At 39.7% G+C, this 26,625-nt stretch overlaps 1 protein-coding gene across 4 annotated transcripts in view, besides 1 other annotated feature; it reads right to left on the reverse strand.

Annotated features, from left to right (window-relative positions):
* HYDIN (HYDIN axonemal central pair apparatus protein) overlaps window positions 1–26,625 on the reverse strand; it is a 428,639-nt gene that overhangs the window by 315,660 nt on the left and 86,354 nt on the right. For all 4 annotated transcript variants that reach the window (NM_001270974.2, NM_017558.5, NM_001198543.1 and 1 more), the window contains exons 8-9: window positions 19,408–19,609; window positions 11,897–12,080 (exon numbers count right to left, since the gene is read on the reverse strand). In NM_001270974.2, coding sequence (NP_001257903.1) covers window positions 11,897–12,080; window positions 19,408–19,609 — 386 coding nt within the window. The remainder of the gene's footprint in view (window positions 1–11,896; window positions 12,081–19,407; window positions 19,610–26,625) is intronic.
* Window positions 16,123–16,417: a silencer, noted in NCBI's record as "tiled region #1449; K562 Repressive non-DNase unmatched - State 22:ReprW". NCBI's record gives its function as "represses a minimal TATA promoter and a strong SV40 promoter by Sharpr-MPRA in K562 cells {active_cell/tissue: K562}" and the evidence as "EXISTENCE:reporter gene assay evidence [ECO:0000049][PMID:27701403]".

Below are 26,625 nucleotides of genomic sequence, written 5' to 3' on the forward strand. Positions count from 1 at the left end.
TCTGGAATAAAGAATGTCGAAAAGAACAAAATGGTTTAAAAATGCAGATATCAAACAAGAGGGAGAAAATAAAAATCTAGAGCCAATTTGGGTTTATTAATTAACACAATCAGTCTTATCAGTATACTTTGCAGGCAGTGTCTTTCCTAACTTCAGAATGAAGGAGGCACAAGGGCTTAAGGGGGAGCAGAGAGGGCTGTAAATATTATGCAGGTATGATACCTCGGGCCATTGCTCTGTTTTTATAGAGTAAGAATGTTTCCTTATGCTGTCACCTCAAAAGTTAGAAACGTGGTGCCTCCACCAAGGAAGTCAAGTACTTCTTCCTCTGTGACCCCCTCTGGGCTGTATTTATATAGACACAGCACTTACTGTAAAATGTTTGTATATATGTTTATCATCCCACTAAGGTTTGAGTTCTCTGCAGTCACGGCCCACACCTTTCTGCTTCTCTGAAGCCCTGGTACTGGGAATGCATTGGGCAGACAGTGAATAGTCACTCAATGTACATTTTAAAATGTCGTATACATCCTAGTTTCCTTTAGATCTCACATCCCCAGATCAGCCTGTGAGAATGAAGGCTCCATAAGGGTAGCTGCCGTTCTACCCCCACCCAAACCAGAGTAAGCCATCCCTGGTTTGGGTAGGGGCAGAACAGCAACTACCCTCAGGGAAGCTTCAATCTTCATGGCTCTTAGTAGGTGCTCAATAAATATTTGTTGAATCTGCAATATCTACTCAGTTTGCACACTGTGTAGTCAGTAGCAGACACCTATTCATCTCTGCAACCTACTTCTACCATTTTCTCTTCATCCAGAACCTCAAAAGTCACACAACTGTAGAGCCAAAAGAGACCTATGAGAGCATATGAGGAACAGAGAAGTCCTAAGCACTTTGATGTATTTAGGCATTTCACTGTGGCACCTTTCCAATCTTGAAATAAGTATCTGTTTTCTTCTGATAAATGATAAATATCTGGCCCCTTTTGATTGGTGGGGGTTTTAGTGATATGCAGTGTTAGAAACACTCATGGCTAGACTCAACTGGCAAGGCCAGGCAGATGAGGCAGCTTAGCCAATCAGTGGTGTATCAGTAGTTATCTCATCTCAGGACTACTGAAATCCTGGGCTTCTTACTCACCCATGACACAAACATATTCCTTTGGTGGGTTAATACTCTGCTGTGTTTGGGTAAACAGAATGGACACCGCTAACCTGCTCCTACACAAATGGAATGACCAAAGGGCCAGGGGCTATCTTAGATCCTGAGAGAACCCAGGCTAGAGAAGTCTCACCAGAACTGTAGGAAGTGGCCCCCACTGGAAATCACATAAGCTCAGTGCATGTGGGCAAGTCAGGGTCTTATGGTTTGAAGTGGACCAGGAATGCTTTCAAAAGTATGATCCCAGCAATCCAGGGTCCATGTGCAGAAGAGGGTAACACACTTCAGTTTCTCTTAGAACACTCTTGGACTGCCATCATCAAAGAGGTCTGATTAGCACAACTGGAGGGATGGGAGTGAGTGGTGGTAGACACACTCCAGAGAGGTGACTGGAATCTCTCCAGAGGAGGAAGCGTTGACATTCGGAAGCCATCAGTGAGAGATCATCTGATGTGGAGGCTCCTGGGAGATGGAGAAGCCTTTCTGCTTGGTGAGAAGACCAGCACAAAGAAATCCGAATCGACAGGGTTCAGACTGAGCAAATGGAGCTGTGGGCTCAGTGCTTACTTATTGTGGGCTGCAGCTGTCTTACTCTGCCTGTGACATCCACTTGTAACTTGCAGCCTTCACTGAGCCCGAGAGATAAAGGAAGGACAAACCCTATTTATTCTAAACTCCTCTCCTGGGCTTGGAGCAGGTACCGTGTATTAAGACGGTTGTGTGTACCTGAAAACAGCGTGCTCATTCGGTTTCCTCTCACAGAAGGATGCTTTCAATGTGATTTCATTTGAAGGAGTTAGGAACATGCAGGATATTTCTACTTTTCAGTTGGGATTTAAGTAAAAGAGAAAGAACTTCTATTTCCTTATAGCAAAAACTCAATATAGCATTTTCTATCAAATGGGAGAGCAAACCTCAGAAATAGGTAACAAGCCTCAACTTTAGACCCCACTTCCAGTTTCACGTCTTTGAAAGATTTCATATGACTTCTTTAACACTTCTGAAATTAAATTCCATGTCATTTATGTCTCTGCAAAAAAAAACTTTCTTTCTTTATTACTCAGTTCTAACATTTCTGAAAATCAAAACATCCAGAAATTTCCTTCCTGGCTCTGACATCAATATCCCTTCTTCCCAGTTCTACAAAACCTGCCTCATCACACGGATCCGCGTCCCCCATTCTGCGAGCCTTCTACATGTGACCCCTCTCCCATGACTGCCCATTTTCCTGCTCCAAATGAGAGGTTGAGTACATAGGATTGAATCTGTAAGTGACTATGACCTTCTTTGTTGAAAAGAATTGTCAAAATGGCCTTCAGTTATACTGTAATTATCTTCCTTCTTGGTCTTAATGTTTTCTTTCAGATTCGCAATGAGTAAAGTAATTGCATTTTACTTATTAATAAAGTGACCTACTAGAAAAAAATCAACTTTAAATTTTCAAGCCTAAAGCTAATTCCCATATTGCGATTTTTGCCCAAATTATTAAATATCTCTGGACACGGAGTTTCATGCTTCCTTCTGGAACAAGAATAAACAACCAAGTGACTCGATGGCCACAGTTCTGAGACTTTCTGAAAGCTGTCTATGAACAAACAGCCACTGGTTTGTGATAGATGATAAATATGATCATGAGAAAGGTGTCATTTAAAAGTGTTCACCTTTTAAAAATTATATCAGCAATACTTACAGGGGATCTTTAAAAAAAACTCCCTTGAAAATCCTTAAACAAACATCTTTTTAAAAAATTGCCTTCCTTCCCCTCTATTACCCCTCTACCTCCTTTCCTTCGTTTCTCCCTTCCTTCCTTCCTTGAAAGATTATTTCTTACAAATCTTGCCCCCCTCCCAAAAAAAAAACCAAAGTGCAAGAACAGAGACTTATATACATATGTAATTTTCCTGGTTTATCTAAAAAGTAGTTTACGACTCAACTTTTACATTTATCAAATAAAATGGTTATGTTCTAGTTCCCAACTTACATTTAGAAGAATGATCCACGTTTGCCCACTCAAATACTATGCTTTCCAATCATACTCTCTAATCTGACAAGACAAATGTATTTAACTACAAATCATAATATACGTAACCACCCACTGAGAGCTCATGTTCCACACTGTGTAAAGTGCTTATACACATTAACTAGTTCAATCACTACCACCTTGTGAAGTAGTATTATTACTTTAAAGATGAGAAAATCAAGGCAAAAAGAAGTATCTTACCCAAAGCCAGACCAATAGTTTAAGTAGCAGAGCTAAGATTCTGTAATAATTTTTTCCCTGACTTCTCTAAACCCACTGCAATTATAAAAAGAGTCAGGCCTCAACTTCTTCACAATATCATAAAAAAGGCCAGAAGAAGTTGAAAAATACTACAACTCAAGCAGGCTTCGTGAGACCTGGTGTTCCTGTCTGGAAAACATAGCACGGCCCCCTGCATGCTTGTATCCTTCCAGTTACTTCTGGAAGGTGACTCATGGGAGGTTCCTTTGGATGACAAAGTCAACATTAGTACATTGCAGCTCTTGAGAAATGCATGGTGGATCTGTATCAAGCTATCCTGGTGTGGTGAAGGTCAGGGTCCAGTCAGCTCACAGCAGCGGGGGTGAATAATGATGTCAAGAGTAACTATAATAGGTGATGAATTCTACCATGTTTCACCCAAATGGAAATGTTCTTCACCACATAAACAAATATTTTCAGCTATCTTATAGTTTTCCTTAAAATATTAGAAAAATATCAACATAAAGAATTTCTCTTGGGAAATGAAAACATGCTCTAAAAGCCACATTTCTATCAAAGAATAAGCAAAAAAACCCATAGATTATAGAAGCTATAATCCGTTTCATTACCCACAACTGCTCGTCTAGATCCTTCCAGATCAATAAGAGAAATCATGGCTCTCTATAACGTCACCCAGGGCAAACAGCAGTTGTCTCAAAGAGGAACAGAAAAATAGAAGCTAAAAAACTGACGCCAAACCATCTTAGTTATCACTGACAGAAAAGTTCAAATTGACACATGACATGCAAAGAGATTTTTCTGCTTCATTATTTTCCTGGGACAAGAAACTATGAATCAAGTTAAGTTATGATTCTCAAAATAATGACCATAAAAGTTTCTAAGAGAGGGCTCTAAGATTTCACCTTCTGTCAGAGGAAGCTTCACAAAAGGAGTATTCTATCTTGATCTCACCTCCAACCCAAATACAGTGAAAAGTGCACAGAGGTTCTATAGAGCGGAGGTAGTTGTGTGTGATGTTCATGCCTTTCTCTGGAGAGAACAGAACTGTGTCTTGTCTAGCAGGGAAGGTTGTTAAGTTATTTAATGAGCCCCGAGGAACCATGCTGTTTCTAAGGCTTCCCCAGGCCTCCTGCCACCTATACTGGTTCTCCAATACAACAGCGAATGTACCAAACAATTGGAAAAAGTGTCGCTGAGCACAAGGATCCGAAAGGATGATCCTGATAAACAAAGGCTGAGGAGTGGGAAAACCACACTGATGGAGAAGCTGTGACTTGTCAAGGCCAGTTTGCTCTCAGCAGATTCCTGTCCTTCTTTCTCCTTTCTGGCTTCCATTTCCAAAGAGTCAGCTTCCACATGTTTGCAATGTGACTCAAGGCTATAATGGTAGGAGAAGTGGAAGGAGTGTGTAGTGAAAAGCTGGGTCTTTCTTCTCTGCTAGCCATCTGGACTTCCACCCAACCTGGTTCTGCTGAGCTCACATGCTATGCCCGCTTGGGAAAAATAAAGTAAACTAAATTTGAGCTGTGCTCTCAAAGTCTGAATTGCTGGAACAGCACGTTTTCTGCAGGCTTAGATGACGACAAAGCATGGTTTACTATTACTTATATGGTAATAAAGAAATTATCAGGGTTTCTCTCTCTTTTTAAGGCTTAGTTAAATTAAGCTTAAGCTTCCCTAGGGATACCAAATGAAGTTTTCTTTGATCGAGGAGACACTTGCTAATAGAAGCAGAAATGTTCCCCTGCTCGCTGATGTCCGTCAATCAGCTAGGAGCAGTTTAGGTAAATACCTTTAAATTCTCAGACCTTTCTTTTTGGGAAAATATCAAGGGTTCAGTATTCAGAAAATTGCTGCATCTTCAAAGCGTGACCTCAGCCAGCAGCATCAGGGTTCAGATACAAGGCCAGCACATTTGTGCTGCCATTCCTCAAATGACTCCTCGATGCCCATGGAAAGCAAAAGCTTGATTCTCTCTTTCTGCCCTATGATACTCTCGGCTTTTCAATTCTCAGGACTGTTTTTTATCTTTGAATCTCTCCCTCTCAGGGTACCCAAGAGACCCAAGCAGAGAAAATAACAGAATGAGACTGTCAACATTCTGTAAAGCCAGAGTCCATCCAATACAAATAGGATATTATATTTCTGAAAGTAGCCAATTACACTTGATTTTCTGGAAGGCACAAAACATGCATAACAGAACTTCAACTTGGCAGTTCTTTTCCAAAGGGGAAAAAAACCCATATGGAAATAGGTGGCTTGAGAATGATCAGTATTCTACAGAACCCAGTACCTTCCCTAGGTAAGGAACAAATGGAAAAATTTAGGCTAATGAAAAACTTGACAGAAACAATGATAACACATCCCATGCTTTAATGACTAGAAAAACAATTCTTCGGATGCTTCAACAATATAAATAAACTATCAAGTAAAGATTTTTAAAAATTCCTCCCAGCCCTCTGTACTGGACTGTCTTCTGCCTGTGGTCACTCTGTGATATGGTTTGGCTGTGTCCCCACCCAAATCTCAACTTGAATTGTGCTCCCATAATTACCACATGTTGTGGGAGGGACCTGGTGGGAGATAATTGAATCACAGGGGTGGTTTCCCCCATACTGTTCTCATGGTAGTGAATAAGTCTCATGAGATCTGATGGTTTTATAATGGGAAACCCCTTTCACTTGGTTCTCATTCTTTCTTGTCTGCCACCATGTAAGACATGCCTTTCACCTTCTGCCATGATTATGAGGCCTCCCCAGCCACATGGAACTGTGAGTCCATTAAACCTCTTTCCTTTCTAAATTACCCAGTCTCAGATGTGTCTTTATCACCAGCGTGAGAACAGATTAATATTCTCTGGGTCATTACTCCCTTTCTCCACCAATGAACACCTCTGGGGTCTCTCAAAAGACAAACTCCCACCTCTGAGCCCTGGAGCAGCTACCAGCCTCCGTCTGTTCGATCACAAGGAAGAGAGGGAACCAAGCAGCCCTGGTACTGTGCAGTGACATCAATGCCCAGGATGCCCAAGACTAACTCCTCAAGGCTTGAGCAATGGACCCTACAGCCTTGTTAAATGATGAGCATGATGAGAAGGTGACGGAAGGGACACAACCTGCGGCCACATGGTTGGCAGGTGGTAAGACAGAGGAAGGACTTGCAGTTCTAGAGTTTTGAGTCTGTCATTCTTATAGTATTGAGTCAAACTGCTTTTCACATGATACTGTTCACAAGATTTTATTTAAATTCAAACCAATCATCGCCTCTTGGCAACTTAGGGACAGGGTCTAATCTCTTGATCTTGAATCTCCTTGCTTTAAATTGAAAGAGCCTCTGAAACAGGAACAATGCTTCCATAAAATACTTGATATGCAGGGAACACAACCAGGACTAAACTAACCTTTTGTTTTCTCTGATGCATTTGAAGATGTGAGATAGATAGATATAGGTCTGAGAAAATAAGCCTGTTTCTTATTTCTTTCCAGACCTTGAGGTAATAGTTTTAGTTTTTCTTTTTAAGTTTAACTCATTTGAACACAATGTCTTTCCTCAGTAGTCAGGAGCTGAAGAGTCCATCAGAAAGCAAGGTGGTCTCTAAGCCTCTTCATCACCCTTTTCTTTTCTTTTTACTTTTTGAGCAGAGTATCAATTAGAGATTGATTATTAGATTAGCAGGAAACACTGCTTGGTTCCAATCTCCTCTGCTTCTACTGTGAACTCAACTCATATCAACAAGCTAATTAAAATGAATCACACCCTAAGAAATAACCAATCACCGATGCATAGGTCCACTCTCAGAAATTAAGTAGTAGCCACTTGGCACAACTGACCTGAGAGTGAGCAAGATTCAGAAGAGACCTTCAGAAGCAAATGGTGCTGAATGATGCATGGTAGGTGTAGACAAATGTGTAAGCCATGACAGGCTGTCAGCTGGCCAGCGCGCCTCCTGATGCCTTCTCTGTGAAGTCACAGCCTCTCCTCTCTCTGCAGAGCCTTTAAATGTGAGGGCCTGGAGGCCCTCTTCAGCCCTCTGCAATTTCCTTTTCGCTCTGCTCTTAAGAGTTTTCACCTGCTTTTCATGGCTTCAGTGAAGATCTCCACAGCACACTCACAAATCTTGCTTCCAGTCCTGAATCCCCTCCCACAAATTTTAGTCCTGCATTTGCCAAATTTTTTGGATATCTATAGTCATCTCAAATTCAACATGTTCAGAGCCAAACTCGTCATCATTTATTGATTTAAATTTGTTCATTCATTCATTCGTTTATTAGCACTGGCCACAAATGAGGATAAGGACCTCCCTGACCTCAAGAAGCTCAGAGTCTGATCCTAAATTGGAGAGTCAGCATTTGTAGATCAAAAAGGATCAATGTGACTTAACTGCAATACCCTGTTTGTGTACAAGGCAACTGAAGCCAAGGAAGATCAAATGGCTTGTTTAAGCTTATATTGCTATTGGCAAAGCTAGCAGTTAAACTGAGGACTCCTGACTTGCTCCTTTCTATCAAAGACATCATAATTCTCCCAATATCTTCAGCACAGCTTTGGAGAAACACAAATGAAATTCCTCACAATGTCTCACCTCACCATCAACAGCCAGTTGATCAAAAAGCACTTTAGTGTCTTTCTTTTGAACATCTCAGATTTCTGCCATTTCCTTCCTTTCTGACCACCCCTGGGCTGTTCCAGGTCAGCAGCAGCCTCATGCATCACCCAACCTTGCCTACAGAGATGGTCAGTCTCTCTGACCCTTCCTGCACTGGGCATTTCCACTATCTGACCTGCACCACCCATCTCACCCTCTGTCTGTGTCCACATTCCACAGAACATGGACCCCAGTGGATGCTCTGTGGAGGGGGAGTCTGTGGTCACAGGGAAATGCTGCTTGCACTCCATTGCTTGGAGAGTCACCTTCTCTTGAACCAGTATTTCTTAAGCTTATTTGACCACAGAACTCCCTCTTTGCAAGGAACGCACATGACCACCCCCTAGATCCAGTGTTTCTGCAAAAGCATGGTGGGAGATGGCAGCCTGCAGTCTAAAGCACAGTAGGTTGGTCAGGTAGCTCCTTCCCTAATGGTCTGTTTTTGTAATTTTCCCAATTGGAAACATTCTCCAACATTGCTTGAAGTCAAGTGTTCATGTAGGGAAAGAAGGTTGGAGATGCGTGTCGAGGCTGAAACTTCTGTCATGTCAGAGGACTATCCAGGGCTCAAGTGAGCAAAGGGATCTCCACATACAATGGGTTAGATCAAGATGAGGACCAAAAATGTAAATAGGTCAAGACCAGAGACATGGAAAGGTCAGGAAGGAATCATTGGTGCACGCAGCCAGGTGGCTGAGCTGGGCTGAGGCAGGGAAGAGCTGTCAGTCGTGGTAATCTTAGATGTACTGGTAAGGTCCACGTGGTCCAAGTCTCTTCCCAGCTGCAGTGGAGATCGAGGCTGATGACTGCTCCTCCTGAGGATGGGTGGCCCTGGGACCACAACATGGCAGTCAGGAGGGGGCTGGGGGTAGGCCACTAGTGAGTCCTGCCCATTTCTATTTCAGAAGCAGGAAGAACGGAATTGCCTCGGATATGTTTCTTTGTTTTTGTAATTTTCCCAATTGGAAACATTCTCTGTCTCCTTTTCCACTTAATTAAATCTTACCCTTCCTCCAATCTTCAGTTCAGATCGCATTTCTTCTAAAAATCCTTTCCCAACTCACTCATCTGAGACTACTGTAGCATTTATTTACCTGAATCGGAAAACCAAAATTTCAACAGTAAAAAGCACCCTTGGCTTGCATTTGTGCCAAGAAGTCTGTGAAATAGTAGAATTTTCCCATTAAATACCTTTAAAAGTAATGTATAAGGTAAGATTATAGTACTTTCACAAACGAGAACTGTATTTATATAAAACTTTCAGGAACTATAGTTTTTAAGTAAGGAGATTTAACATAAATAAAGAATTCATTATAACTGATATTGAGTTCTGCTGTTTTGACCAGAATAACTTTGGGAAAACTAGGAAAGTTTCATGCCTTCATTTTCACTTTGCAAAAATTGTCAACCAGCTAATGAATACTATTATGAAAAGAAAGACTAAATAGCACAGGAGGAAAACAAAATCATGATAGATTCCATAAAGACCATTTATATTGGAAGTGAATATTTCTGCCTATTTCTGGCATCACCTCCCCCCCGACAATACAAATAAAATTAGTCTCATTTGCTTAAAAATTATCATTTTGGTACCATTTCTGTGTATTACTAAAACGTTTTTCTTCCTAAGGATAAAAAAAGGCTTCGTGACAAGAATGCTTAATTCAGTTCCCACTTGGAATTCAAAAACTATCATATTAGATGCCATATTTTAACATACATACATCTCCTTCATTGAACTGTGGGTTATGGAAGGAAACATAAGGAGAAGCTCATTGGAGGTAATTCCAGTGTTCCTACTTCTGAAATAGAAATGGGCAGGACTTACCTATGGATTATCCCTGGCCTCCTCCTGACCACCATGTTGTGGTCCCAGGGCTGCCCAGGGGTAGCAGTCATCAGCCTGGATGTCCAGTGCAGCTGGGAACAGTCTTGGACCGCATGAACCTTACCAGTATGTTTAAGATTAGCACAACTGATGGCTCTTCCCTGCCTCAGCCCAGCTCAGCCACCTGCTTGCACGCACCAATCAATAATCCCTTCTTGACCTTTTCCATATCTCTGGGCTTGACCTATTTTCACTTTTGGTCCTCATCTTGATCTAACCCATTATATTTGGAGATCCCTTTGCTCACTTGAGCCCTAGATAGTCCTCTGACATAACAGAAGTCTCAGCCTTGGCACACATCTCCAACCTTCTTTCCCTACATGAACCCTTGACTTCAAGAAACTAGTCTACTCATAGAGCCTTGGGTGAACCATGCCATGCACATCGACAATTTCATTCTCCAAAAGGCCTGTCCTGTGAGACTCAGGCCCAGGTTCTTCTCTCAAGAAGCCTTCTCCAACTTCTTTGACTATGAAAATCACCTCAGCCTCTGAACTAGAATACCTTACTGTCTTCTCCAGTGACTCACATAGCCGGCCCCAGAAAACTGTGTCCCAGAGGATGTCTCCAAGGGAAAAGCTCCCTCTTGGAGATTAACAACACACATTAGCATATTAAAGACTTTCCAAAGTCTTATAACCAAGAAACCTTTCAAACAATATTGACTCTCACGTTTCTCAAACGTACTTAGCCATGGAGCTCCTTTTCCGTGTTATATCCTTTAACAACAATTTAGAAGTGCAGATGGAAGGAAAATGAGCCTGCATAAGTCAATGGCATTTCTCACAAGTGACCTTGTATTCTAAAGTGTCCTCGTGTCCATGTCTCTTCTGTATCTGATTTAAATGGCAACAATTCGGCAGCGCTAACAAGCTGCGGGCTTCCTCACCTCCTATTGCTGTTTTTTTTGTTTGTTTTTTGTTTTTTGTTTTTTGAGATAGAGTCTCCTTTGTCGCCCAGGCTGGAGTACAATGGTGCAATCTCGGCTCACTGCAAGCTCCGTCTCCTGGGTTCACGCCATTCTCCTGCCTCAGCCTTCCTATCGCTGTTTTGATCCTCATATCACTCTCTGCCTGGTGGGAGTGAGCTAATACACAGGAAGCCTGTAGCACAGCACCTAGCATACAGTAAATAACAAAGCTGCTATTTCTTTGATTTGGGGGCAGTAGGGAGAAAGAGTGCTTAAGAGTTTAGTCTATGGAATCAGACAGACCCCATTCTAATTCTGGCACAGCTCTCACTAGAAAGACTACGAGGTCAAGGATCATGTCTGTTTTGTCCATCAATGTCTGGTACACGCACAGTGCCTGATACAGGCCATGCAGTCAATGAGTATTCAATGAATGAATGAAAGACAAAGCAGGTCTCAACCCAGGTGATTTTGCCCAACAGAGCATATTTGGCGGTGTACAGAGATAGTTTTGGCTGTCCCACTAGCATCTAGTGGGTAAAAGTAAGGATGTTTTGCATGAAACATCCTACAATGTATAGGACAAAGAATGACCCAGCCCCAAATGTCAACAGTGCCAGGGTTGAGAAGTCCTGCTGTACAGTCAGGCCAAACAGGGATGGATTTCTAAACACTGACCCCAGCTGTTAGGCCTTGAGCAAATCACAAAATTTCTGTCTTAATATCCTCATCTGTTGAATGGGATTCTAATGGGATCTTGTATTGTACACTTGTAAGCTAATACATATTCAAATGAGAAGAACTGCATAATCCCTAGGAAGTGGTTAACACAGTGACTGATGCATGGAAATTGTGACCTATATATGTGTCCCATGACATTCTTACCATTACCTTCTATATAATGTCTCACAGTGATGGTGAGTTTCTTCAGGTGGACTCTTCACTCTCTTGCAACTCACCGTCTCAATCCCCAAGTGAGCGCTCTTATCAAAGCAAGCCTGTGCTCCCACTTACATTTCCTGTATGGTCAGCTTTTATTTATATGCTCACCAGGGGCTCCACAGTGAAAACGTTATTGAAGAACAGCTTGCTGTCTCCCTGCACCAGCCTCCTCTGATTCGCAAAGGTTCGGGACAGAACAGAAAGATGTTCTCGGAGTAAAGGATCAGTAATGCACTCTTCAAAAAACTCATCAGTCTCATCCTTCTCCTCTTTGATCAGATCATCACAGGCCCTAAAGAAAACAGGCAATGTGAGATTCATGTGGGTACTCCCATGAAGAACTTTGTAAAGGGCTTCCCTCTAGTACCTCCTCCTGGAAATGTCCTCAGCCACCACCCTGGGGTGGTCCCTCCTTGCCCTGAGTCTGTAACCTGCTGCCCTTGCACTCAGTCCTCAAACCTCTCAGAGCCTCTGTTTGCTCATCTTCAACCACCTTCTTTAAGAGATCCTCCCTGGATTCCTTTCCTATTCAATACTCATTGCTTTACTCCTGAGCCCTTATGTATATCTGGACAAATATTTTCTTTCAGGTAATCCTGTTTTCCAGGCTGCTTTTTAAATATTTAACATCTATTCTGCCCCTCACATGGCAAGGACAATTTTGTTCCTTTTAAATTTGCTTAGCTTTAATTCTTTCTTAGCTGTTAGTTACCTGGAGCATAGAACCTGGGGCCGGCAGGGACTAGGTTTGCATACTAATTCTGTGATCTGTTTACTAGCTCTGTGACTTTGGCAGTTCCCTGATTCCTCTAAGCCTCAGTGCCTTCTCCTTCTAGAGACCACAGGAGCTGCTCCATCAGAAAGATGTGTTGAGGGTTAAATGTAATCAAGGCTCTAGTGCAGTTCCTGGGACAAAGCTGGCAACTCCATATATACCGGTTTTTTTTTTTTTTTTTTTTTTTTTTTTGAGACGGAGTCTCGCTCTGTCGCCCAGGCCGGACTGCGGACTGCAGTGGCGCAATCTCGGCTCACTGCAAGCTCCGCTTCCCGGGTTCACGCCATTCTCCTGCCTCAGCCTCCCGAGTAGCTGGGACTACAGGCGCCCGCCACCGCGCCCGGCTAATTTTTTGTATTTTTTAGTAGAGACGGGGTTTCACCTTGTTAGCCAGGATGGTCTCGATCTCCTGACCTCATGATCCACCCGCCTCGGCCTCCCAAAGTGCTGGGATTACAGGCGTGAGCCACCGCGCCCGGCCTATATACCGGTTTTCTCCCCCTGTCAACCATAGGCAATCGCCAAGCTGTCAGCTTACAAAATGCTCAAGCTATGCCTTAAGGCACCTCCTTTTCTCTCTTTTTCTAGCTTTTAATATCCATCGTGATAAGAGAGAACAGCAGCTTTCCCCAATCCACTCATTGCCCCCACCAGAGCTATGTTCACATTTCTCCTGAACTTTGCAGACTGAATTTTATCTCCTCCCAGGACATACGACCATATTCCCATCATTGTACTGGTATTACCAGGGGTGAGAGACAAATTATTTAGCAACATAAGTGCTGAGTGGGAGCCTAGGATCACTGAATTCCTGTCCCAGTTCCAACTCCTGTCAGTATTGTCAAATAACTCTTTTTAAATAACATATGTGTTCAGGGTGCTTTGATCACACACTGCAAAAAGAAGTCAAAGAAATGGGCTCGGTGTGTTCTGGTTCCAAGGAAGAAAGCATCTTGTGCTTGATTTTTATTGCCAGGTAGGAGGCAGTGTCCAAGGTGACTGGCAGCATTCCTTCCACACTGCTGGGCACGGCAGGGCAAATTAAAGACAGCTCAGTTTGCAGAAAGAAAGGAATCCATTTCTTTTTTATTTGATATTTTTGTTATCTGATACTGATCTGGAAAACTTACAGATTATATACCCTTAGAAACCAAAAAATTCCACTTGCAGGAATAAATCCTTAAAAACAATCATGGATATAAACAAAGACACAGCTACAAAGATGTCCATTAAAGTGCTGGAATGATACCAGATCAAGTGGGTAAATTTGATGTAAGATAATGAAGCACTGGTTGAACAGAAATGGGAATCATGAACATTACATTTATTGGGTACCTGTCAAACTTTGCACATGCATCATATAATTTAACACTCATAACTACCAGAAGGGTCATTAGCATTATAAGCATCATTCCCACTATATAGATGATGAAACTGAGGCTTAGAAAGGTTAAGTAACTCGCCCCAGATCACATAGCTGAAAGATAGCCTGGACTTCAGGGTCTTTGGAGGTTTGAATCCCCTGGTGCTAACCAATATGCACACTGCCTCCCAGGAATCCAGGGAATATTAGGGAATAATAAGCAGCCAGTAAAGTGGTATTAAATGGAATACTTAACATCATTTTCAAATGTCTGAAATGTTTTAAGGTGAAAAACAAAGTGGTAAAATGTAACATATACAATAATCCCACTTTTGTAATAAAAAAGCAAAAGAAAAATACATACTTATTAGGGAAAAAATACAGACTTAGACATACCAAAATATTGACTGTGGTTTCCCTGGTTGGAAGGATTAGAATGGATTTTTGCCCTCATCTTTGTGCTTAATATTTTCTAAATTTTATTAGTGCACAATGTATTTCTTTTTAAACCAGAAAACAAGTCATTTAAGAAATTAAATGTTAATTAATTCTCAGGCTGAGGCACTAAGATTTTGACCTGGTTGCCTTTGCCTAACATGCCTGCATTGGCATGAGCCTGTGGATGCCACCCCTGGAAGAGTGCACAGGTGGAATGTGGGGTGACACAATGTGGTCTGGTCTGCAGAAGGTGGAGGCAATGGATTAGATATACACATAGCAACATGAATGGATCTTAAGCACACAACCTCGTGAGAAAAAGGAGAAAATGGAATACAAAATATGACTTCTCTCTGTCTCTCCCCCAAGACAATATACATTTTGAAAGAACAGATTCATGTAAAAAGATAGACACAGTAACATATTAGAATGGTATCTTTGGGGGAATTAACAGGAGTGGGGTGTGGGGATGTAAGAGAATAAATAAAATGCTTTGTGTGGACTGAGGATGAAGATGATAGTGCTCCATGGACTGAGGAGTATGAGAAATGCAATCCCTGTACCAGAAAACAAAGAGAACAAAACAAATTCGAAAACGCTGGTCTTCTCCCATGCTGTTGAAACTCCAAAACAGCCAGTAGAAGGCAAAGGGAGGAGAGAGGGTACTGGATTCTTCCTCTGATGGAGAATTGGAGCCAGGACTGAGAGTCTAAGGAGGAGGTGTATAGCCACAACTTCATGTGGCCTGGCTCCAACAAGGGCTTCCATAGATCTCAGTCCTAGTGTTTTGCCATCTCGTCCTGTTGATAGTCATGGTTTCTTGCACTCAGAGGTGGTTCTCTTTTATAGATGAGGAGACCTTTCATCAGACAGCATAACAGCAGGCCAGCCCTCTCTTCAGTAAAACCATGGGCTTAACCCATTTTACAAATGGTCTAGTAGCTACCAACACCTTTAACAGTCAATGGGGAAGATGTGTGTCTCCAGTGCAGCAGGGTTGAACGAGTAATAGTCCCTCATCTTCAGGTACTCAAGGCCTGTAATCTGCTCCCTTCAGCACCCACAAGAGGTGCCAACTGAATGCTGAGGAGATTAAAAACTAAGAGCCATGGTCTTGAGAGCTAGAGGAAATACTCCCATGTCCACACTTGGCCTGGAACAAATGGAGCCATCCACCTTCAAATGGAAAATGGATCATGTGACTCTAAACAGTTAGCAACTCTGTGATCAATGTTACAAATGAAGAACTAGAGATCCTCTCCCTGTTTGGCAGTACCACGTAAATCTTCGGATTTTTGTATAAACCCTAGGGAAGGAAAGGGGCCTCTAAACATAACTGAGATTAAGTTTATTATGACACAGGTGGTAGGCTCAAAGCCCAATTAAAACTGATTTATCTAAGGAAACATGTCATTTCCTCCATCTGCATATTATAGAATAAATCCATGCTGACCACTCTGAGGGGCTCCTTTGAGAATTGTAGGAGCTCTTGTACAGAGCAAATCTAGAATTAGAGCTGGCTGCTATTGAGAAAACGGCTGTGACCTTGCTGGGGAAATGGGGAGCAAAAATCCTTAAAGCCCATGCCAAGTCTCTGAATACAGTGAACGTGATAAGAATGAGTATGAAAGAATCTTGCAGAATGTTTTAAAATCCCTCAGGACAAGGTTGAGGAAGCAAGGAGGGATGAATGCAGCCTCCATCTCTGAAGAGATTAATTTCTCTGCAAGTCTCAGGAAAACATCAAAAGAAAGAAATAAAGGTGACCTTTTAAAGGTCCCTATACATCTGATTATCAAGTTAAAAAAAAAAATTTAAAGTACAGAACTTCTTCCCACGGGGAGGAACGTCATTGCCCAAGTGTGTAGCATGGGAACAACCCTCTGTCCCCAAACCTGGACATGTGTCCTAAGGTTTTTAGCAATACTTTGAGGTAGGTGTGGAGGAAGGCCAAACAGTAAACTGCTGGAAACGAATTGGTATTCCTGGGGCTGAAATTCCTCCACTGCAAGAAGAGATATCCAAGTCTTTGCTCATCAAGATACAAGAGGACAAGAAACCATGATGGCTAGAATGGGACTTGAGTGTATCTGTTGAAGCTATTAGCATTATTGAAGCGATCTTAGAGCAACTTTCAGCCCCTGGAGATGAATGCCACAGGACATGCTTTAAGCTATGTTAAAATGCTAGAAAAACAGTGGACAGGCTCTTCAGTCTGACCTGAAAGTTTACCAGAAGTTAAATCTTTTAACTATAGAGGTTGCTGAAGGAGGGGGAACAAAGGAAGAAGGTGCACCCCATTATGAGCAAGAGAGTGAGACATCAAGAGAATAACGCCTGATTCAGCTCTGCAGGCCTTGCTGGGGTGCTCAAAAGAGGATTCACCCCATTCGCTAAAGATCTCGCTGCTGCTTTTCAGGGATGGGCGGGTCTCTGCCCATAAGCAAGCTACCAAAGAACATTCTGCTTTCTTGACCCCTGATGTGTGGCCTGGGACACGATCTGAGAATTTGTGACATGGAGGAGGAGGGGCCTACACTCACAGAAAGAGCACCACTGCCCTGTCCAGAAAGCAGGAGTTAAATGTTTAGTAAAGGGCAAACTTGTCTGTACTTGCCTTCCTTTCCAAGAGGTTGGGCATTTCATGACAGTTACTTCAAGGACAAGAATTCACGGCTTATAATAGGAAAGTTGTTTGCTTTCTTATTATTATGCTTGGGCTGTATCGAGGAACAATGGAGAGAAGAGCAAGAAGTGCCACCCTGGTGCAACAAGAGATCAGCATGACTGGTATCCTTTTTCCCTCTTGGCCAAGCTCCTGGCACTCAGGAGAGAGGTGGGAGGAAGAGAAGGGAAAGCACGTCGTAGACTCTTTACCGAGATAAAACAATAGTTTGGAGAAACAGGAGTTCTGGCCCTGTATGTCACACAGAGTGAAAGTGGTGGTATTCTTATTTATCTGAAGCCACTTTTCAAGTCTATTAGTTAAAAGAGGGTCATGATTCTAGATGATAAAATCAGGTTTCCAATCATGGTTATAAAAATGCTATCCTATATTTTTCCCCTTGTTACAAAGAAGTTGCCAGAAGAAATAATAGAAAGAGCAAGGGAGATAGTAAAAGAAAATGATGCAAGAGAAAGGGAAGAATAAAAGACAATATTAAAGAGATAGGGGTGTGAGTGTCAGGGGAGGTGAAGTGGGGAAAAAACTAAAATCAATGCCCATCCACTGTGGCTGAATTATATTCTCTATAGTTTAGCATCTCTGATAACCATTGGTTTAAATTTTTTTAGAGTTTAACTGCTGAAATTAACGTCCTTACATAGTTTTTGGTATTGGCATGGCATCAATCACATATTATCCATATAGCCAAACACACAGACATGGCTGAAATTAAAGCTGGCTTTCCCTCTTACAATGGGTACTCACTCTCCACAAAGGGTTATGCCCACAGGACAAGAATGATACTGAAACACTACTTTGCTATTTTACTTTCTTTACTTGGATCTCCTTTCCAACTTTCCCTTCAAGCATGTTGGGCCATTTTGATCGCTGGTGAGCACATGTGAGTCGGGGAACCAGGGCAAAGGAAGCAGTACTGGATCCTTTTCCTTGTGCCTTTTAAAACCACAGATATTTCTATGCCATAAAGCCAGAGGAAGATTTTAGGCATAAGTGGTTTTTCTTTCCTCATTTTTTAAAAGATGGCACAGTGGCAATTCAGTGATTAAAGCTCATTGTCTGAATGACAAAGCTTCTGGCCCACTGTGTCCTGTCATTGTCGTGGCTTCTGATTCAATTAGGGACTGCACACTGGGGGGGTTCTTCCTGGTTTCCACGGACCTAAGACTTTTATTTTTATCACATACGAACTTGGTTTTAAACAAAGTTTGAAGCTTCCCAGGGCTAATCTTTAATGAAAATGGAAAGGCAAATAAAAAAGGCTGAAATAAATTCCAATGAAAGCAGCAAAAGTGTTAATTCAGGGAGGTTGGAAGGAGATAAAAATGAAAATGGAGCTTAAAAGAGGCAAGCATGGATTCAGTAAAAAGAAATCTTCAAAATTTAACAGTGATGAGATTAGCTACAACAGTTTGGTTTTACATTTTATTAATTTTCTCCACTGCCTGAAGTGCCATTTTTAAAACCATAATATTAAAGATACCAATAAGAAATCATTATTAACTTATATAGCTTGCAGGGACTGGAGCAATGCTACTAAAACCAAGAATATAAAAGCCATTATATCTAAGCCCTTCTTTTTCCTCAATCTTCATATTTTCTACAAGTATCTTTTCACTGAAAAAAATTCCACATTGATGCCAATCCAAAATAGATTATTTTTAGGAACGCTTTATAAAAGCTGATCAACCTGGCCGGGCATGGTGGCTCACGCTTGTAATCCCAACACTTTGGGAGGGTGAGGCAGGCAGATCATGAGGTCAAGGAGCTTGAGACCAGCCTGGCCAACATATTGAAACCCCATGTCTCTACTAAAAGTACAAAAAATTAGCCGGGCGTGGTGGTGGGTGCCTGTAATCCTAGCTACTCAGGAGGCTGAGGCAGGAGAATTGCTTGAACCCAGGAGGCAGAGGTTGTAGTGAGCTGAGATCGCGCCACTGCACACCAGCCCTGGCGACAGTACGAGACTCCATCTCAAAAAAAAAAAAAACAAAAAAAACAAAAAAAAAACCTGATCAACCTAGTTAGGGTTATGAAAAGTAATAGAGACAGGTAGACTTGTTTTGAAAGAATAGTGAAGAATGATAGGTTTTGTCTTCAAAATCTAGGCATTCCATTACTGCTAAACTATAAACAGGTTACATCAACTCAGGATGGACATTCTGTTCCACATAGCTCAGCTCAGATCGTTCAAATGAGCAGCTTCAAAAGAGGATCTTAAACCAGAACCAAGTTAGAAAAATGTGACATTGGTTGAGTTGGCTAAAAATGTAGTACAAAATTCACTAATTTTTCATAATAACTGAGTTTTACATTCCCCCCCTCCAAATTACTGCATATAGGTGATTTTTGTTACAGACCTATATTTTTCTCTGTCCTCTTCTTGCTGGGTAGCAAATACCTTCCACAGGAAATGGGCAATGATATTACTGCGATTGTGAATGGTTATAGTTCGCTGATTGGCCAGAGATATGTAGGTTTTCTCGATGGTCAAGGAATTCTTATCCAGCCTTATATTCATGTCTATGGCAGCTCCATAGAGAGATACAAACACCTTTTCACCTAGGAATTAACAAAGTACAAACACACTTCAAGATTTATTCTAAAATTACACACCTAGGCTATCTTTTTTTCAAGCTGAAGTTAGGCAAAATAGCATAAGCATCAGGATTTCATTCTTTCCACTGTACCCCCATCAGTTCAGAGATAAGATATGATCAGAAAACAAATATTATGCTTGGTGCAGTTATAGAAAAATCAAGCTATCTTGCCTGGTCATTGTAAGAAATATATAAAATATGTATTGTTGTTGTGGGCACTCCAAAACTTTTTCTTTTTTGTAAATAGCTTTCAATCCTACAGCCTGACCAGGAGAGCAATCGAGTTATAGAATTTTACTCTATGCCTCATCTTTAGCTCATGCATGAGCTTGATTTGTCATTCTTAAAAATGCTTGTACCAACTATACTTAAGAAGAGCTGCTCAATATGAGAGAATTTAAGTCCATTTGAGAACAGTGATCAGGAGGGAAAATTCAGTAACTTCAAAAATAGAAAACTGACTACTTAAAAGAAACCACATCCCTAAACAGCAATTAAAACAAAACAAAACAAAACAAAACAAAAGAAACACACACACACATACACACACACACACACACCCCTGACATGTCTGGATAGTGGCCACATAAAAAGAAGACAAAAATTGTATTAAAAATTTAAAAATTTTAAATATTAGGAATATCTTTATTCAGTATAGCAATTTAAGCCCCTGACTTTATTCAGGATGCACCAATTACCTTGATTCTTAGTATATAAGTGAGTTTTCAAGAAGACACAAACCTATAAACTATATTTGATTTGATCTCTGCAATGTCACAGCAGGTGCATTACTCTGACATCATATAGAAAAAATAAATATCGAAATACCATGAATGTTTTGTTGATTTATGTTGCTAAAGTTTTAAAGCATCATTACTTGTATCTTATTTTTTAGCAAACATTTCTGCTCCATTCACTGTTGTATGAACCAGTCATTCAGGAAATCAACAACCCTTTATACATTTTAAATGTTCTTTAGGCTCAATAACTTTGGATGCAGAAAAAACTTTCCCCAAAGAAAGAAAAAGTAAGCATCTAGGCATTTGACTTTAAAATTTTTATTTCAAAAACTTATATAGAGAGTCAAAATTTCAAGTACTATAAAAGCAAATACAATGAAACTAAAAAATATATTTCTCCCCTTCACCTAACTCCAAGTCTGATTTTTAGAGGTAAGAACTGTCAATATTTTCATGCACATCCTTTCCAAAAAAAAGGTATGCACTCTTGTCAACTTTTAAACTTTCTTTGAGTGAAATGTAACAATCTGATAAGTGAAAACTCATTGTTACTTTAATTGGAATATCCTTAATTATGGATGGTGTTGAACACCTTTTCATAAATTAATTGGCTTAAACCAAAGAGAAAACCCCTCCTCCAAATAAGTTAATACTCAAAGAACTATGCCTTCTGCTGGTTGTGGTGGCTCATGCATGTAATCCCAGCACTTCGGGAGGCCGAGGCAGGCAGATCACCCGAGGTCGGGAGTTCAAGACCAGCCTCATCCACATGGAGAAACCCCATCTCTACTAAAAAATACAAAATTAGCTGGGCATGGTGGCGCATGCCTGTAGTCCCAGCTACTCAGGCAGCTGAGGCAGGAGAATCACTTGAACCCGGGAGGCGGAGGTTGTGGTGAGCCAAGATCGTCCCATTGCACTCTACCCTGGGCAACAAGAGCAAAACTCTGTCTCAAATAAAGAAGAAAAAAAAAAAAAAAAAAAAAAGAACTATGCTTTCAAGATGAGGGTGAACTGGAAGTAGATTAGCCTTAGTACAGAGTTGAATACCATGCTGGAATTGCCTATGTCTTGCAAATAACTTCAAACCTTGAATTTGATAATTATTGACTGGTTAGACACTTGGTGAAAGAAACTCAATTTTTTGGGGGGGGAAAGGTACTTGCATCCAAAGTTTCAAAATTTTCAATGTTGTTTAAAAAGCACATAACCAAAACATAATGATGCAATGCAAGGAAATAAAACTCCATGTGTTGGAACCAGCAGGTACAAGAAAAATGGAAATAGGCCCACAAAAATATCAGACACTAGGAATCATCAGATAGAAACTATGAACCAATTATACATACTATGTTTAAAGAAACAAATGGATTGCTGAAGCCATATGTAGGAAATAGAAAATCAATAAGATCTTTAAAAATTTTGAAAAAAGCCACACTCTAGGACCTACAGAAATAAAATAGTCTAAATTAGAAAAAATTCAAAATAAATATTTAATAAAATAATTTTATTATTTTTCATGACAAATTAGTGAAATGGGAGGTAGTTCAGAAAACACAAAAGGCAATATGAAGAAATAAAAATATATGAAAAATACAGTGGATAAGATACAAGGAAGATAAAGTTAGAAGGTCTAAAAGTATTGAATTGGAAACTCTCAGAAGGAGAGGAAAGAGATAATGAAGCAAAGACAGTATTTCAAAAGATGATGGCTAAGAATTTTGTTTGGAATTAAAGACATCAGTTCACAGTTCAAAAGGCCAGTGAAAGTCAAATTGGATAAATTTTTTAAAAATCAGACCTGAATATATTGCAGTGAAACTGAAGAAAACCAAAGACAAAGAAAAAATCCTGAAAGCAGCCTGAGGAAAAAAACATTATTTTTAAAGTTTCCACACTTGGAATTACACCTAACTTTTGAACTGAAACAATGGAAACTAAAAAATAATGGAATGATATCTTCAATATGACAAAGGTGAAAACAATGCCATTCAAGAGTTCTACACAAATTTTCCAGCTTTTTTTTGTCTGCAAATATCTTTCTTTTGTCTTCACTTTTAAAGAATACTTTAAAAGTGGTATAAATTTGCATTGTTTTCTTTCAGTGCTTCAACAGTGCCATTTGACTGTCTTCCAGCTTCCATAATTTCAGCAGAAAATTTTGCCATCAGTATTCTTAGTGTTCCTGTTAAGGTAATGTATCTTTTTTCTCTGGGTACTTTTATAATGTGCTCTTTGCTTTAGATTTCAGCCATTTAACCATAATATGCCTAAGTTTGGTTTTCTTTGTACTTGTACCACCACAGGCTTGCTCAGTGTTTATAAACCTCTGGATTAAGGTCATGTATCATTTCTGGAAAATTCTCAGCCATTATTGCTTAAAATATTTTCTACTCCATTCTTCCTCCTCCACTTTTGAGACTCCAGTTACATGTATGTTGACCTTCTGACTGTGTCCCACTTGGCTGTTCTATTTTTTCCCCATTCTTTTCTATTTCTCTCTGTGCTTCCGTTTGGGTATTTTCTATTGACCTGTCTTCAGGTTCACTAATCCTATCTTTTGCAGTATCCATTTTGCTGCTAAAGTCATACCATTAGTTCTTAATTTCCAACACTGTATTTTTCAGTATAACATTGTTATTAAAATCTGATAAAGATATAACAACGATATAGGCCAATCTATAGGCCAATTGCACTTCTGAATAACAATGTAAAATTTCTGAATAAAAATAGCTAATCATTATATATCAGCACATTAAAGGAATGATACTTCATAACCAAGTGGAATTTATTCCAGAAATGCAATAATGTCCCACTACTAGAAATCTGTTTATGTAGCAATAGATCTAAGGAAAAAAAATGGTATGATCCTCACTGATGCTGAAAAAGAATTTGACAAAACTCAAAACGCATTTTAAAAACATCTATAAAATAGAAATTGATAGAATTAAAATATAGTAAAGTCTCGGTAATTAAAATATTAATAGCATGGTAGCAGTGCATGAAGAGACAGATCAGTGGAATAGAATGAAGTCAAAACAGACCCAAATGCACACTGGAATTTAGTATATTATAAAGGCAGTATCTCAAATCATTGGTATAAAGACATATTTGTAAAAAAAAAAAAAGTATTGTTAGGACAACTTCATAGCCATATGAAAAAACATATCTCATATCTTATATCAGAATAAATGTCAAGTGAGTCAAATATTTAAATGTTCAATATGAAGCCATATATATAAAACAATATAAATGAGAATTTCTTCATAACTTTAGAGAGGGAAAAGTTTCCTATGACTCAAAATCCAGATCCCTCTAAAAAACTAAGAAATTTGATTACCTAAAAATGAAAAAGAAACTCATTCAAAAGAAATAAATACATGACCCATCCAAAAACTTGACTGTAAAAGGGATACAGGACCTCTAAGAAACATGTACAGCTGCAAGATAGCACTAGTAATAAAAGAAATATAAAATATCATTTCATGACCATCAAATTAACAAACAAAAATCAAACAGTTTTATAATATCGTTTCAGCAATATATTGGCAAGAATATGGAAAAAGAATTTTTGTATACTTCTGATGAAAGTATAAATTGCCACAACTTGACAAGCCAATTTAGTATCCAGTAAAGCTCAGGATAATTTTGCCCTACACCCCAGCAATTGCACTTGTAGGTATTTATCCTAAAGGAAAATCTCACACAGCTGCCCAAGAAGACACTGTACGAAGCTGCTCAATGCAACACTGTTTTTAGAAGCAAAGAAGTAAATATTCAATTTTCACATACTGGAATGTGGCACATTCATTAAAATGAATCAGAGTAATGTGTATCTACGTGTTTAAATATTTAAAACAACATTGAATGAAAAAAGCAAGTTGGAGAATTTTATGTACAGTATGATACCATTTATGTGAACTTTAAAACTGCTCAAGACAATACTATATATTGTTTATGGATAAGTAAATATGTAGGAATAGCATTAAAATGCACCCAGTAAAGCTCCTCTGAGGAGCAAGATATGGGAATTAGATCAGAAAAGGGTAACAAAGTGGCTTCAGGTCTGTAATCGGTTTGATTATCCAAAAAAAATAAAACCTCTAGAAAGAAATGTGTACGGCAAAAGGTTGAGATGTGTTACATATAACAGGTGTTGATTATATTATTCTCTGTGTTTTTGTGGTTATCTGAAATATGTCATTGTTTAAAAAAATAATCAAAGGGAATAAGAGATCCAAGGGCTTATTTCACGCAACCTAGGGGTCAGAGAGACTAATGTCATTAATTTGAGCTGCTCACTGCAAAAGTCTTCCTTCCCAGAAATATAGCAAAAGCTATTTTTTTTCAAGAACCATCCAGTATTGATTTTTTTCACCACTATCTTCCAAAACTCATCAGCTCCACAAAGTGAAGGAAGCAATAACTCTTCTCTTATCCCCAAAGCTGTTGAAGTATTTGGTTTTTATAATACCTACTTTTATAGAGACAACCTGAAAAAGGTTCCCCAACCCTTAGCTACTTTGAAGTGGTTGGAAGTGGTGTCATGTCTCCAGGAATGGATGGGGAAGCTGTTCCTCAACATTAGCATTCTTTGTGTCCTTGGAGGACCTGTTCCCGCACTGGTGCCTTTTTGGTTTCCGGAGTTGCATGCTGCAATCATTGTAGATAGGCTTAGGAACAATCTTTTACTACATCCCAATACAGACATATTTTGTGGAAGGTCTCACTATCTCTTGCCAGGTTTGCTACCATCAATCAAGTAAAAACAAATATGAACAAAACTAATTTTACAAAAATGAATGTGAAGGTAACTATATATATAATACGCTTCATACTATGGTTTCAGTACTCTCAGACAACAGAGGACACTAAGTTAAATTTATGGGTGGAGCCATAGATTTTCCAGGGAACTAACAAGTTGATGGAAAGTTTTTCATCACTTGGTGACAACAGGGTCAAATTCACTACGGTAGTGCATTACTGAACCGAACTTCTTTGGAAGTGCTCTTTGTTCAGGAAACTTAAGCAACTTGATGGCTCACCTGGCATGTCAGTGGCAATGCCAAAACCGGTATTCTCAGTCTGCACAGAAGGCAGTGTGAAATGCAGAAAGTGTACTGGCCTCAGGGGGTCCCAAAGACCTGGGTTCAAATTCCAGCTTTACTGAGCTGTAAAGTCATTTAACGTCTCTGGGCTTCAGTTTACTTATCACTAAAATGAAGGGAGTTAAAGAAACGTCCCTTTAAATACTAACACCTGCTAATTTGCAAGTCTTCACTTGCTATGAACTTATAGAAACCTTATCTCACTTCCCTAAACATTTAAAGCCCTGACAATCAGAGTGTCTTAACTTCTGCTACTTCCTATTCTAAGCTATGGAATAAGAAACAAAGAAAAGAAAACAAGGTCAAGTAATGTTTCCATTGCTTCTAAAGCCATGTTAAAACATTTGCTTCTTTTACAATACCTCTGTTTGGCTAGATTTTCTAGTTATAACAGCACACATTTATAATTAATAATAATCCCACCATTGAAACAAAGTTGATGCGGGTAAGTCTGCATAGATATTAATAGATTCAGATAGATATTATTTAGCATTTTCAACTGCAAAGCAGCAACATTACAGTCAATTACTGACTATATTATATTTTGGTATGCCTCTATTGGCCTTTATGAGGAAAAAAAGAAAAATTCTTTATGGTTTTAGAAAGCTTACTAGAGTAAAATATGTAAATTACTATAAAGCTGCCGTGTGAAGCACTAATATTATGACTGTGTGTATATTTAATAATAACACACCATCACACCTTTGGGGAAAAAGGTTACTTGCCAACTGCTGACTCCTAAAGTATCTCCTCTTCAGTAAGAGACATAATACTTTAAAAAACGCTGAATACGTGCATCAACTCTATTTCCTGAGTATGCCAATGGTTAATGTCACTTCTAAGGTGAGAAGAGTAACCTCATCAGGCATTGAAGAAGAAACCCCCTACACTACTATTTCTGGTACTCATTCTAGTAACCAAAGTTTCAATACAAATATCTTTTTTCTTTTTCTTTTTTTTATTTTGTTCAAATGTCTTTTTTGAAATGCTGTTCTGAATAGTAATATCTCCTTGAATCCTGTGATTATATTAATTTCTCAAGACTCAGTTGAAAAGTGCAAAACTTCAGCAATTAACCATTTGTTTGTCTCTTCAGAGGCAAATGATACTTCCAGTTATTTGTTTGGTTT

The sequence above is a fragment of the Homo sapiens genome, chromosome 16 (genome assembly GCF_000001405.40).
Source record: "Homo sapiens chromosome 16, GRCh38.p14 Primary Assembly".
In the NCBI taxonomy this organism is placed as follows: Eukaryota; Metazoa; Chordata; class Mammalia; order Primates; family Hominidae; genus Homo; species Homo sapiens.